General features: G+C 36.5%; 1 protein-coding gene and 1 pseudogene across 1 annotated transcript in view; both read right to left on the bottom strand.

The window, feature by feature from the left end:
- The window catches only part of GRXCR1 (glutaredoxin and cysteine rich domain containing 1), a 137,946-nt gene extending 124,543 nt beyond the window's left edge, over positions 1-13,403 (bottom strand). The window contains exon 1 of the mRNA NM_001080476.3: positions 12,466-13,403. Within this exon, the coding sequence (NP_001073945.1) occupies positions 12,466-12,849 (384 nt within the window). The 5' untranslated portion in view covers positions 12,850-13,403. The remainder of the gene's footprint in view (positions 1-12,465) is intronic.
- Positions 13,498-13,720, bottom strand: RN7SKP82 (RN7SK pseudogene 82; annotated as a pseudogene).

The raw sequence follows: 15,876 nt of genomic DNA, 5'->3' as shown, positions 1-15,876 counted from the left end.
AAAAGCTGTGAACCTGAGAAAATATGGATTTAAAAAAAATAGAAAGATTAAAATCCTCAAGGACAGGCAGAAAAAATGTACACAGTTCATGAAATGAGATTACTATAAAACGCTTTTGTCATTCAGAAGCATGACCCAATGTGAGCCAAATTACATACAAGAAAAATTAATATCATAGCAAAATTCCTGGATAATGGTGTGGCAGGCACTGTTGCTTGTTTGTTCATCAGCTATTTCCAACCCCATCCTCCCATGCTATCTTCTACCTAGGAGGCAATGCCAGATACATTCCTGCCCTCTTACAATGACAAGGAACGATCACATGAAACGTAAGACACTAAATGTAACAGAATGCATCGGTAATTTTCTGGAATTTTCTTTTCCTTTCTGATAAAAGAGGCACACCTGTAAGGAATGTTTTCTTTTGCCACACTCCCTTTCAGTTTTGACTCTGGTCTGGCTGTAAGCTATGGCATCCATTTTGAATCCATGAGAGGACATCAACCAACAAGCCAAGAATGACCAGACAGAACAACGGGAAACGTCTGGGTCCTTTATCATATATAAAGCCACGAAAAAAACTCAGCAACAGCCTCTTTTGAATGTCTTAAATGATGTAATAAATGTCTGCACAATTTCAGCCATGTCTAGCAGTCCACCGTGTGGCTCATAGCAGAAGGCATTCCATAGAGATACAAATAATTCCTTGCATTGGCATGGAAAGGTATTAAAAATCAATCCAGGCAATTACTAAAGAAGAGATTGATTCTGTCTCTACCCAGAAGGCGCAAGCAAGGCTTTCAGGATGACAGGTGTTACCAAGGAATACTCAGACACAAGGCATGTGGGTGGCTGGCTGAGTTCACAGGTATAGAGCCAACTGCAGCAGAGCCAGGCTGGCAAACATTTGGCCAAATAGACACGGAAGTTAATATTAAGGAATCCAAGGCAAAGGCCTAGGTAGGGGCCAAAGCCAAGACAGGATCTCCAAGAGAGGAATTGGCCGCAAGACAACAGGTTTGTGTGGCAGGGTCGGAGCCAAGTTTGGAGGCAGCAGCTAAGATTTTTCAAAGTGAAGTGATTTCTGCCAAAAAATCTTGTGGTACCAAGATGCCTTTTACGGAGTGGCCCAGGACTTCCCACACAGCCTTAATTTTAAAAATGTTATCTGAGAGGAACAGAATCTCTATAAAATTTATAGAATTGGGTCAGATGTCCCACCTCTGTTCCTTAATAAGCTCTTGAGTTCTTGCCATATGTTACAGTAGCTATGTGTTTTGTGTATCTCATAAGAAAGAATTAGATTCTCTGAGGACTGAAATCATGCTTTTTTCATCTTTGCACCCTCAATGACTAGCAGAATACTTAGTAGTATTTGATTCACAATTTGTTTGAAGAAGGATAATAAAAATGATAGTATTTATTGAGTACTTATAAGGTACCAGGCATCGAGAAACATGCTTTATACACAATAACTCATTCATTTCATAGAAATAGTCACAACCATTATCCCCATTTGACCAATAAAGAAACTAAGATTTATAGAAGATAAGTACATTTTCCCACATTAAACAACTAGGAAAAGTTAGACTGCATCTGAAACCAGGTCATCTCCCTCCAGAGAATAGTGCTCTTATGTCTAAATGGAGAGAAAGCGAGCACAGTAATTATTTAAGACACTACTGGGGAATAAGGTATTTTTCTCTTCTTTCTCTCACAAAGAAAAGGGGGGCTTTGATTTCTAGAACTTAGGTTTTCTCTTGCTCCTAAGAATAATTGATAGAAGAATGTTTTCAAGAGTCTAGACATAAAGGCAATGAAGGTAAGTAGTCCCAAGAGTTGGAAGGAGCGAAAGTTGGGCATCTTATGTGAAGGGCTTTGGGCACTGCCTGCAGCATCAGTGTAGCACATGGACTGAAGGAGTAGCAATGAAGATGGACACCAGAATCCATGGACCAAAATCATCTCTAGACATTCTGGCCCCTTGTGAACCCATATATCTTGCTGATCACAATGTGTGGGGAAAGAATCCTGAATGATGTCTAGTACAGAACTCCCTGTCCATTCCTACATGGAGGATCCAAGAGCCACTTTTAATCTGCTTTAGAAACATCAAGGCGAATTATGTTCCCTGAAATAGTTGGTTGTGTATCATATTTAAACCTCCAGCAGAAAGGAGGTAAGGAGAGAGGCAAAGACTCTTATGCAGGATGGGTAGGCAGCTACTTAATTTCCAACACAGGCTTTGGGTCTGTTTCAGTTCTCATAAGCTCTCACCACCAAGGCCTTTTGGGAGGGGCAAGTATAATTTCATCTCCAGAAATTCTTCATGGAAATATAAAAAATATTCCCTGAAAAAAAATCAGCTTGTAATTGAGTAGCTGAAGCAGGAAACATTGGCCTTGGAAAATGCTGAAGCAAGCGCAAATTTAGGGGAAAAAAGAAAAATGGGAAGGGGCATATATAAATGTATGAAAAGGGAAATTCCATAATTAGAGGAAGAGCCTTGAAAGCTGTGATTAAGAATATCTATCCCAGCACTCTGGGAGGCCAAGGCGGGCGGATCACAAGGTCTGGAGATAGAGACCATCCTGGCTAACATGGTTAAACCCCATTTCTACTAAAAAATACAAAAAATTAGCCTGGCGTGGTGGTGGGTGCCTGTAGTCCCAGCTACTTGGGAGGCTGAGGCAGGAGAATGGCATGAACCCAGGAGGCAGAGCTTGCAGTGAGCCGAGATCATGCCACTGCACTCCAGCCTGGGTGAGAGACTCCGTCTAAAAAAAAAAAAAAAAAAAAAAAAAAAATCTACAAAGCTGTGGCCCAAATTTTTTATTTGGTTTTCTGTGTAGTTAGAAAGAGAGGTGGCATCCTTAGTAAGTATCATTGGTTGATTTGTGTTATCTTTGTAGTAGATTTTCTAATATTATTTTAAATAAAACATGTGTAAAACTGTACTATAAAGCCAGCTGTTTAAAGCACCAGGCACTGAGAGAGGCAAATCTTCAGCCTTCGGGCTCCGGTTGTAGCCTCTGGGTTTCACATGAAACCTCCTGAGTTCTAGAAGCCCAGTGCTGGATTATTGATTCAATTGATTCAATAATGTTTATACTCTGACAACAAGCTACACGCTTCTCTGAGATCATAGTTATTTCCCTCAGACTATAGGAATTAAGATGACCCCTTGGGGACAAATGACTCCTTTTCTGAGAAAAGTTTCTGGCACTACAAGAATAATGTGTTAGAGTCATTCTTCATTTTTCTTCAACTTTTATTTTAAGTTCAGGGGTACATGTGCAGGATGTGCAGGTTTGCTGCATAGGTAATTATGTGCCATGGTGGTTTGCTGCACAGATCATCCCATCACCTAGGTGTTAAGCCCAGCATCTATTAGCTATTCTTCCTGAAGCTCTCCCTCCCACCACTCCACCCCTGAAATGCCCCAGTGTGTGTTGTTCCCCCAAAATGTGTTCATGTGTTGTCATCATTCAGCTCCTCATTCCATTACAAAGATACATGCACACGTATGTTCATTGCAGCACTATTCACAATAGCAAAGACATGGAATCTATCTAAATGCCATCAATGATAGACTGGATAAAGAAAATGTGGTACATATACACCATGGAATACTATGCAGCCATCGAAATAACTGAGATCACATCCTTTGCAGGGACATGGATGGAGTTGGAAGCCATTATCCTCAGCAAATTAATGCAGTAACAGGGTCACTGTTATAGAAACTGATAAGAGGACACCCTGGAGTCCTCTGAGGCTGATGTGTTCTGCATCACAACCACTCTCGCATCATTTGTCTTTCTCTTCTTTCCATAAAACCACTAGTTTAACTTTATTGATGTATAATATTTACTAAACCAAACATTTGTTGCTTCATTAGGGGTGCTTAATCTTCTCTTAATTCATTTCTTTTGACTCACTTGGTGTTATTCTATACTGACAATTTGCCATGATCAACACTGTGTTATATTTACTCAGTAAGGTATATAATACTAAGATACAACTAGATTCAAGACCAGAGTCCAAAAAGATTTTAAATGCCTGGACTAACATAATAAAATTAAATTATATTGAATGTAGCATCATATACGTAACTACAGAAAGGAAACACACAAAACAGCATTATAATGTTTCCACAGGAAAGGTATCTAAGAGGGCAAGCCCAACAATGCAAACCAGTTTCAATACTTTGATTGTGCCATATTTATTACCATCCTTTCAGCCAAAGGAAGTCACATGGTCAAGACCAAAGCCAAGGGCTGTGGAAATACACTCTATCCCCTGGTGGCCATGGCAAAAGTATGCCAATGTATGATACTACCACAGGGAACCAGGAAAAAATGAAGCCAATGATTTAGTCTACAACAAGGCCTCAGTCTTTTCATGTACAAAATAAGCTTAATACCAAGTATAGAAGGCAGAATAATAGCTACCCATGTCCTAATCTCTACAATCTATGAATATATTTCTTTACACAGCAAAAGGCACTTTGCAGACATGATTGCATTAAGCATCTTGAGATAGGAAGATTATCCCAGACTGGATAGGCCCAACGTAATCATGAAGATCTTTATATGGGAAAAAGGAGGGCAATAGAGTTAGAGAAGATGTAATAGTGGAAGCAGAAGTCAGAAGGATGCAGGGCCACAAGCCAAGGAATGTGGACAGCCTTTGGAAGCTGAGAAATGCAAGAAATGAATTCTGCCGTAAAGCCTCCAGAGAGGAAGCAGCACTGCCAAAACTTTGATTTTGGTCCCATTACAATCATTTCAGGCTTCTGACCTCCATAACTGTGAAGAGATAGATTTGCGCTGATTTAAGGCTCTAAGTTTGTAGTGATTTGATTTGTTTCAGCAGCAATAGGAAACTAATACACCGGGTGAGTAGTAATTGTTGTTCAGTCTCTTCTGAATATGGATACCGCAGGCTTTATTTTTCACATAACCAGCATGATTAATGTGGATGCCAATGACCATGTTCTTGATTTCTGGGAGAAATCATGAGTCTTGGGTCCTTAAAAAGGGGATATTTACTTGGGACAGTTTAGAAGCAACAGAACCTTGGGAAACTGGAGGGCATCCCTTCTGCTAGATGCGCCACAAGCATTGTGCATTTGACAGCTGTCAAAGGAAGGTACTCATGAGAGGGCATGTGAACCTGGCTCTTCACCAAAGGTGATACGCGAATAAGAACAGTTGCCCTGTGGCATGGATTAGTTCTGGGACCCTCATGAGCAGAGTTACCCAGTAGCCTCTCCCTGCTGACCCTGCTCTAGACCCTCCCCTCAATCTGTAGACCCCCCACAAGTTCCTGAGGTCACAGACCACCCAGCTCTTGTCCCCTTTTTAACTAAGATGACCCTCGTTAGTCTCCATTCATTTGGTACTCTAAGTTTCCCTATTCTCTTTCCACTGACCTGTAATAACACAATTCCCCAGAGCCTTCTCATCTGACAAAATCTATCTCTAGCAAATCAACACCTTGGTTTTCACTACTCTACCCTCTTTTGGGCTAGTCAAGCTTATACAGAGTTTTCATATAAAAGGGATCTTAAATTTCTTATAATTAATTACATAAAAGATACAAAAAAGAAGCAACTAATTATTTCATAGCCTAACTTTGTTATTTAAGAATCAAAAAAAGGGAATACTCCTATTATTTACTTTATTTGCTATGTAAAAGAGTCTATTACTTCACTCCTGATGCAATGTTCTAAGGCATAATTTATCAGCAATTAAATGAGATAATGAATTATTAGAAAAATAAAATTGAGCAAAGATGTCTCAAATCTTTATTGAGTAGATTTGTGCACGTAAATAAAATGCCCTTAACTGAAAATTTCTGCATGACATCTTATTCTGTTTATAATTTTGTAAATCCCTTCCAGGCAATAATTATTGAAGGATTGATACATTTATATGCTGTGTCAGTGTATAGACTATTAAATGTTTATATTACTTTTATACAAAATTTAAAATACTGGGTTTCAGAGAAAATATCAGCATGAGCAATATCTGCCAGCATGAGCAAGCCAGCAAAAGAACGTTTGCCTTGCTCAGCTGTTAAATTGCATTTTTAAGTTTTAGAAACATTAGGTGCTAATTCCTTAATTATGTGGTAATCATGGGCCACCCATAAGCATTCATTAAGCAGTTTCAAGTCATATTGTGGAATCTGTGACTTTGCTCAGCAGGTTGTTCTAAAGCCAGAATTCAGACAGATTCATAGGATTAAGCTCAGGGAATTACCAATGTTCCACAGTTTAAAATGTCATGATACAAAGATTCTGATGAACCAGGAAAAAATGTGATTTTCCAACTTAGATATTAATTGAACTAACTTTAGAAGGAAAGTTTTAACATGATGAGTAGAACTTGGATAAGTCGGTGCTAATGGTCAGAGTCACTGTTATTCACTTCTAGAGATTTGCAGGATCAAGATAAAAGTCATTATACAGATGAGCCTTCAGTTATTGTCCTTGAGACAGAACTCAACTAGAAAGAAAGCAAGAGCAAGCTAAAGAAAAAGATCCAAAATAAAATGATGGTCTAATAAGAGAAAGACTAAAAGGAGAAAAATATAAGCATTGGCCTGAGGAATGCATAGAGGCTGGTAAACCAACAAGAAAGCAGAAAGAGAGAATCTTCTGGGGATGAAAACAAAATCTTTTGTTTCTGAGTTCCTCCAGGAATTGCTTTACACAATCATTCACAACACACTGCTGGATAGTCCATGAAGGCAGGAATTGGGTTTTAGTCCTCACATTATCTAACATATTTTTTGTCTCACGGTAGATATGCAGTAAATAGTTATTAATGAATGATTGAAAATGATCAAAAGAAAGAATGGAATGAAGCAAGCCAGCAACACTTCGCCATGCAAACTCTAGTCCTGTCCGTTATGGGAAATCTCCAAACCCAAAAGAGATGGAGAAGAGGAAAATAACCACTAAGAGGGTTAATTCATTAACTCAAGGAAGAAAATTTATTGAGGTCCTACTCAGTATGTGCGCTAATACCATAAGCAAGAGCCAAGGATGGTATGTGCAAGGTGGTCACAGGACTCTAAGTTCTATCAGTTTACAATTCTTTAATTGTGCATAAATATCAGTAGTACCAACTCATCTTTGCTGCTTTTTCTTTCCTGCTTTTTACATAAGTCACTTAATCTCTTAGTGTAGTTTCTCGCATCATTTGGAATTGTATCAAAAATCCTAGAGCTTCTTTACCTACCTCTTAATATCTAAAAAGATAATATTTCCATTAATACATGATAGTCTTGACAGAACACTACATAAGAATTTCTCAGGATACATAACATTTTAAATCCTATAAATTAATGTTTCTGTCAGAGAAGAAGCTCAGATCATAATTAATTGATAATTAATTGATTAATAGTAATATACCTCACAGGGTTGTTGTAAGGAATAAATATCAATGCACATAAATAATGTCAACAGTGTCTAATATTCAATAAGTACTTAATGCTAATTATTTTCCCAGAGTGGTCCAAATGAACCACTGGGACTAAGGAGTCATCAAGAATATCACCTTGTTTTTACTGAACTATTATTCTATTATCGGAGTTTGATTCAGTGAACCAGAGATGCATAATAAATACTGCTGGAAAGGTGTGTTAACACTACCCATCCTGAGATAGTGAACCACTGTAAGCACCAGTATACTTGAGGTAAACAAGTCATCCTCTTTCAGTGTCAATCCTTGCAACCTCATGACACTTTAATCAAACGATGTTATAGAAATGATATAAACCTTTTAAAAATACAATTCAAAGCTGAATTGAAGCTATTTAACTCTGCAGAAAAAAAAACCTTTCTAGATGAAGATCAAATGTTCAATAAATGATAAATTGTAAAACCTGCTAACTAAATGTTGAAATTTCAAAAGGCCAGATTATATAATAACATGATATGTTTAGTCTTATTACATGATACATTTAGTCTTCATGTTTGTTATCATGACATTTCAAAACATAAAGTTGGGAGTTTATGCATATAGTACAACACTTTTGAAAACTGTGAAAGCCAAAACAGCAAAGGGCAGAGTTCTTGCATTACTAGCTTTGGGCCAGAGACTGGATTTCTCTCACACTTAGTTATCTAAAAACAGACATAATAAGAATAATAATAATAATAATAATAATAATAATAATAATAGTAATAACTTTTCTGTTCACTTTATAAACTTTTGGGCACAATTAATTAAAATAATATATGTGAAATCCCTGTGTAAAATGCAAAATAACATTTTATTCCTCATTACTGAAAAATTTTAGAAAAATTATTTACTTTCTTTAAAAATTAGCCATTGTTACTTCATGCTAAAGAAATTACAAAATCACCACACAGCTCATACCTCTCAGTAGCCAGTTGACATCATTAAATTTGAGGTATACTTTGTTCTTAGCAGCAAAATATTTCCAAAATCTCTCAGAATGAGTCCTTAGGTTTTTCCACAAACATACTGGTTTTTCCACAAACATACTACTTTTATTTCATTTGTCTTGAAATATTAGAATGCTTATAAATACAATCACACTAACCGGAAATATCCATGTACATACATAGACGGAGGTTATATGTTTAATTTGAGTTCCTAGAAAGGAAATGCCAAATTATAGTATGTGTTGTAATTATTTTCCTTCTTTGCACCTATTTATCTCTAATACAGTAATTTTAAATTTGGAGAAGGAAAGGAAATTAAAATTATGGAAATGACAGTACAATATTCTAACAGTTTATTCACACAGTTTGAGGATAAGGTCAAGAAAAAAATCGCTGTCTGAAATGTAATCTCATAAGAATAAATTATCAAAAATAAGCAGCCTTAATTATCTGCATCATTGACCCACTCTAAGAGAATTTGGAAATATTTTGCTGCTAACAGCAAAGTATATCTCAAATCCAATCATGTCAACTGTGTACTGACAGGTATGAGCTATATGTTGATTTTATAATTTGCTTAGCATGAAGAAACAATGGCTAATTTTTAAAGAAAGTAAATATATTTTTAAAATTTTCCAGTAATGAGGAATAAACTTATGTATCTAGATAGAGATATTCTAAGAGCAGAATTTCTTAAAGAGTATTAAAAAGAGACCAACTACATCAGAGTGTCCTGGTAAGATTTCTGGACCTGTTCTCAAATTAACTGATAAATTTGAATATTCATGGGAAACATGGCTGTTGGGATAACCTTTATTCATCTTTGGCTCAGAAAAATTTTTCTGATAATCTAACCTGATCAAAAGAATGAATAACAAGTCATTGCATATCTCATTCATTTTCTTTATTAAATATTGAAGAGATAAGGAACATTAATATTTTTATTTACCCTTGGGAACTGGATGAATTTCTCTTTGATACTCTAGGTCAATGATTCTCAAGCCTTAGTGCATGTAAGAATAACCTAAAGAACTTCTAGTAAACGCCTATTTCCAGGCCACAGTCATGGCTAGATTCTAGGTTTTCAGATTTCCAAATTGGCCTCTCTCGAGCTCTGTATTCTTGTTATCTCTGGGAGAGTTGGCAAATTCAACCACCTGGAGCTGAAGCGCCATAATCTAGAACAGCTAGAGACATTTTGCTTCACCATTAACCACTCTCTACAACGCCCACCTGAGCAGCCAGGTGGCCTTCTGCTTTTTGCCTCCTGGTTCATCACTACCTTTAACAACCTTGATTAATTTTGCACATCATCAAATACCCAGGATTATATAAGGTAAACTAATTGACCAATAAAATGGAAATTCATTCTGATATTCCTTTAATAGACAACTTTCTAAGTAAGTGCTGCTACAAAGTAAAAATATTTTAAGGCAAAAATTGCAATGACTTTTTTCTGTGCAGTTGAAATTTTTGCAGGACATATACCAATGTTTTATGAGACAGGGATAAAAGAGTGGGAAACTAATACAGAAGAAGCAAGTGATTGACAGGGTCTTTGAAATATTTTATTTATATTTAGGGTTTTCTTTCACGTTTAAGGTTAAGTGCTTTAAGGTTTTAAAACTTAAAAAGAAAAGCCTCACTGTTTCTTCAATCACAGTTCCTTGCTTCAATAAGATTGGCTGTGCATTGAAACCTTAATCAAATATCCAAGATACCGACTGCTCACTTTTTCCTCCCTGAGGGAGATTACTAAATTACATCCAGTCAAGTTTACCGCTTACTTTGCAAGGGATATGGAAAATATATAGGGGGAAAAGTCATATCTGGTAAAGGGTATAGGAATAACTGAATAATAACTTCTGCTTCTAGCCCCTGGGGCTTCTCTGTGGGATGCCTATGGGAATATACACTATCATCCTAAGACATATGCCTAAGATGTACATTACCCCAAATGACATACACATACCTTAAAAAGTGTGGCAAGCATCCAAATCAGATCTCTACATAATGTTGAGTAGGGTGTATTGCACAACTTTAAGGGGTACCATTCATGCAGACAATGGGGAATGGAGCTCCTTGGGCAATAATGCAACTAGCAGCCCTGATCCAAGTGTAGCCACTCCTTTAACTTATGTTTTGTCCTGGAGATACCAGAGAACATTCACACAATTAAGATGCTGCTGATGACAATGAAACTAAAGATAATGACCAAAATTTGTGAATGCCTACAATAGGCTGATGACTTTGCCAACATTATAAAGAAAGGACCAGATTGGTGGGCAGTTGGGAGGGATAGATCTGATTAAGTACCAGAGACCTTGAAGGACCTCTGCTAATAATCTTTATTGCTCTTCATTGCTCTAAAACAGGGAATACGTGGAATGGGGCTAAATTATTAGAAAAAGGCAGTTTTATTGCTTTTTTCTCAAAATGGGGCTATGGAACTATGCATAGAAAAATATGCAGGTAAATATTGTAAACTAATCTAGTGTTAAAATTTTGATTTTGGAATTTCTTCTCTTTCTTTTTTGTGAGTTTAAAGCACTGTCAGAGTAAACACATAGGGAGAAGAAAGTTTTTCTCTTGTAGGTTTTAAAGGCTTAAGATATTTACTCATAAACAATAAATTTGGGGGGAGATTTGAATAAACAGATGCAAATCAAAGTACTAAAACTTTTAGTTTTGTAAACAACCCTCCAAATCATAAGGCAATTCAAATAATAACAAACTAAGTTAATCATAATGAATGTAAACATTTTAAAACTTCATTGTTGCAAAAAATCTTGGTCTACTCCTTAGCAATAATAATTTCTGCATTTGGTGAAACTTGGTGGCCACTAAGATTGCCATAACCAAATAATCACATCTCTAGAAACTGAAACAAGATTGTTGCCAACCTAGTAGAACACAACATCAGTTTCTGATTTTCAGTCTCCAACCTCACCCCAATATGTAAAATTCTTTACCGGTAATTGCCATATATTAAAAAGAACCTTTGCTGTCAACTGTTTTTATCCTTTAACAAAAACTAATTTTTTAAATCCTCCTGATATTTTCAAATACTTTCTTTGAAATAAAAAATATTTAAGTACTTTCATTGAAATCCTCTCTCTTCACCACTCACACATTCTAATATAATATAGGGACATTGAATCATCACAAGAGATCATTTTATTTAAAAATTGAGAATATAAAAAGGAATTACAATGAAAAATATTGGCTACCTTAATGATAGCAATCATAAATTCCATTCCCGACATAATGATATCTGTTTTTAACAAAAAAACAAATCACTTTACCAATGCTTTCAAAAACTTGTTAACATTAGATCATTGTCAAAAGCCCCAATACCTGAATAATATATTTCTATATTACTCTGCAGAATCTATCACATTTAAAGTAATAAATGTTAAAAATTATTATACAAAATCTAGATCTCAGTCTGTACATTTATAGAGGAGTAATTTTTTCAAGCATCATCCTAGAATTTTTATGGGCAATTTAATAGAGAAATTGATATTGAATGAAGCCTGCAACCTCCTCAGGAATGGGAGGAAGTCGAAGTTAGTCTTTATTGCTGCACAACCTTCCAGTTGAACCCAACCTCGCTGAATTCATGCACTCAACATTTTCTGGTGTAAATATCTACATAAGTAATGATAAATGCTACACTGGTATTTCAAGGATAATAAACCAGAATTTAACTTTTAATCTTTGCTCAAATGCTTTGAACAGCATAGTTTTATCTTTTTCCTTAGCAAAGAAGTAGACAGGTTATATTAGTCATCACACACTGGAAGGAAAAAAAGACCACTTATGTGTTAGAAATTTGGCTTTGAGAACTCAGTCTATTTTCCCAAGCACAATGACCCAGTTTTTAATTGATAGCTGTTAGGACAGTATCTTAGGTGGAGGAGCGTCTCATGAAGCATGTAGGAGTTGCAAATAAGAGAGGCTTGCTTTAACTGGAGAACTGAGAGGTGTTCAGATGGTGAGTTAGGAACAAAGAGCAGGAGAAGGAAACAGCAATGACTTACCTGTAATACTTTGGTCAAATTGTTAAATAGAGCCTGGCCAGCACTCACTTTGTATTTGACGCCTCTGACTGTGCCATTTTTGCTTAAAATGTTGACTCTTCTTGTACCAAAACCCTTCTCACTGGCAGCCCTTGCTAACACCAGCAAGCTATCCTGGTCATTCTCATTCTCATCACCTTCTGACTCTATGTGGCCATTCTGCTGTCCATCGGAATCACCTAGTCCATCTATCCCACAGATACTGGCACATTCAGAATCCAGAGAGCCTGACGGTTGCCCATCTTCATACACTTCCTTCAGAACTCGCCCACTGTGAGAGGACGCGATCCGAAACCGGACTTTCCGTGGCCTGTCACTTTCTGGCTTCATCTCCCTTTTAAGCATGGTCACCTCCACCCATATGAACAGTTTACAGCATTCTGGACCCGTTGTTACTGCACTAGTCCACTTGCCAGATAGCAATATCAGAGCCAATTCTAGTGATGGCAGCACTCCTGTGAAACTAACATCAAAAGGAAAGAAGATTCCCAAGGACTTACAGTGTGTCTCTGCTATTAATAATAAATGTGTGTGTGTGTGCTATGGTTACCTTTAAACTAAAACCCGCAAAATGATCTCAGCCTTTAAATATTAAATAGCCATGGTGGACTCTTTAACAGGACAAGTGCAAGAAAGTGGCATGCAGCGAATCTGAAAATATGTATGGGGCAAGAAAATGAAAGGCTTGAACTTTGAAGCCAATGGTGGGCATTGAAAAGGACCTGAGCAGTGGACATGTCTCTACTATTCATTGTCCAAACCAGAGGTTAGAGGTAAAATGTGGAACCAAGTTTGTAGGATAAGAGCAGTCACAGTTTTCTCACAGGACTTATTTATTCTTTAAAGGGCAGTGAACACGCTGCATGCTGCATGCCTGCATAGAGCTATTACTATTAGTTCTTATTAAATCATCAGTTAGATTTCATCTACATTGCATAAGATGAATGTCCAACTTACATCTGTCTTTACCAAGCTAAAGAATAGCTTGGTAACAAAAATGCGATTTTTTAGCTTTTTTGAAAAGGAGAACTTTTGCTTTGTTGCTTTCCCCCTTCTGCTAGTAGAAAATGTTGTTCTCTTTGACAGAGAAAAGGTTTCAGAAAGAAAACATATGCAACAGTAAGGGAAGAATGGAAAAACCCTCCAGGCTAGCCAGATCAGCCAAAGCAATCCAGGTAATCAGCATTGATAAATATTATATCCAAATCACCCATGCATAGAGAAAGTTCCTCCTCATGCTGTGCTCAGTGTATTTTCTATCACTTTGGCAAGCACCTAAGGAACCTGTTACGATATATAAGGTTATATTGAAATGTACACTATAGTGAGTTCCCCAAGCTGTCTGCACCTCCTGAGGGAGGAAAGCAGCTTGCGTGCATAAAGTACCACGTTTTTAATTTTTATAGTTTTGGTCTCATTATGAACTTAATTTACATTTATTTTAGAAAATTCAGAAAATAATAGCAAGAAGTTGAAAATAAAATCATGAAAAATCTCACTAGAGATGTTAATAATTTTGTGTATTTTCTTCCAGTGTATAATGGCAGAGATGCTCCATGGCTCACAAAACCAGATTGCCCAGACTCTTGAATTTAAGGGAAAAGGGAACAAGTGCCTAGCTTTTGACAATAATTGTGAGCAAAAGTGATGCATCATTTACGCACCAAGTCAATTGAGACAGAGCCTGCCCTGTCTGTGCTATGTTTCTTCCTGCCTCAACTGCTAGCTGCATGGCCCCAGAGCAATCTGGAAGCACTACACTGAGCTTGTCAGAGTTACAGAGAAATTAACAACCACGACCACCCTGCATTAGATGATGTCATGGGAAAAAATAAGCCTTTATTGTGTTAAGCAATGAAGATTGAAATTTAAGAGTTGTTTGTTAGAGCAGATATCATTACTGAATCTGATTAATATGCTCTCATATACAAAAATATATTGCATTTATTTAGTATCTTGGTTTTTTCAGTCAAACTTATAACATGAATCATTTCCCATACCATTATTTCTGAAAAACATAAATTTAATGTGTGTATTAAAAAACCTACTGATAGCCATGTTGTATTTTACTTTATTCTTTCTGGATTGCTAGATGTTCATAATTTAAAATATTTGGTAAAATAATGCCATAATTAATATTCTTGCTTAAAAATCAGTGTACATATATCTGGTTGTTTAGCATAAATTTATTTGGGTAAAATTGATGAGGTAAGAATTTTTACAAATTTAAAGCTCTTGAAAAAAATTGTCATTTGCTTTTAACACAAATTGTATAACTTACACTTCTACTAGTATATGAGTGCCTGTTTTATTGCACTTTTGCCAGTGCCAACACTGAATACAGGCATACCTCAAAGATATTGTGAGTTTAGTTCCAGACTCCTGCAATAAAGCAAATATTACAATAAACAGTCACATGAATTTTTTGTTTCCCATTGCATAAAAGTTATGTTTATACTATACTATAGTCTATTAAATGTGCAGTACTGTTATGTCTTTATAAAATGCACATATTTTAATTTTAAAATATTTTACTGCTAAAAAATGCTAACTATCTCCTTAGCCTTCAGAAAGTCGTAATCTTTTTGTTTAAAAGGGGTCTTCCCTCCATGTTAATAGCTGCTGACAGATCAGGGTGGTAGTTGCTGAAGGTTGGAGTGGCTGTGGCAACTTCTTAAAATAAGACAACAACAATCTTTCACAAAAGATTTCTCTGTTTTATGCAATGCTGTTTGATAGCATTTGATCCACAGTAGATCTTCTTTCCAAATTGGAATTGATCCTCTTAAACCCTGCCACTGCTTTATCAACTAAGGTTTTGTAGTATTCTAAATTGTTTGTTTCCATTTTAACAATGTTCACAGCATCTTCACCAGGAGTAGATATCATCTCAAGAAACCACTTTGCTCGTCCATAGGAAGCAACTTCTTATCCATTCAAGTATTATCATGAGATTGCAGCAATTCAGTCTCATCTTCAGGCTTCACTTGTAATTCTATTTCTCTTGTATTTCCACCACATGGAAGTCATTTCCTCCACTGAAGTTTTGAACCCCTCGAGTTATCCAGGAGGGTTGAAGTCAACTTCCAAACTCCTGTTAATGTTGATATTTTGACCTCCTTCTATAAATCACAAATGTTCATAATGGCATCCAGAATAGCAAATCCTTTCCAAAAGGTTTTTAATTTACTTTGCCCAAAGCCAGCAGAAGAATCACTATCTATGGCAGCTATAGCTTTACCAAATGTACTTCTACAATAATAAGACTTGAAAGCTCAAATTAGGCTGGGCGCAGCAGCTCACACCTGTAATCCCAGCATTTTGGAAGGCCGAGGCATGCAGATTGCTTGAGCTCAGGAGATAGAGACCAGC

This window comes from Homo sapiens, chromosome 4, assembly GCF_000001405.40.
Source record: "Homo sapiens chromosome 4, GRCh38.p14 Primary Assembly".
NCBI lineage: Eukaryota > Metazoa > Chordata > Mammalia > Primates > Hominidae > Homo > Homo sapiens.
The sequence above is the reverse complement of the archived record's forward strand: the minus strand, read 5'-3'. Positions and strand labels throughout refer to the sequence as shown.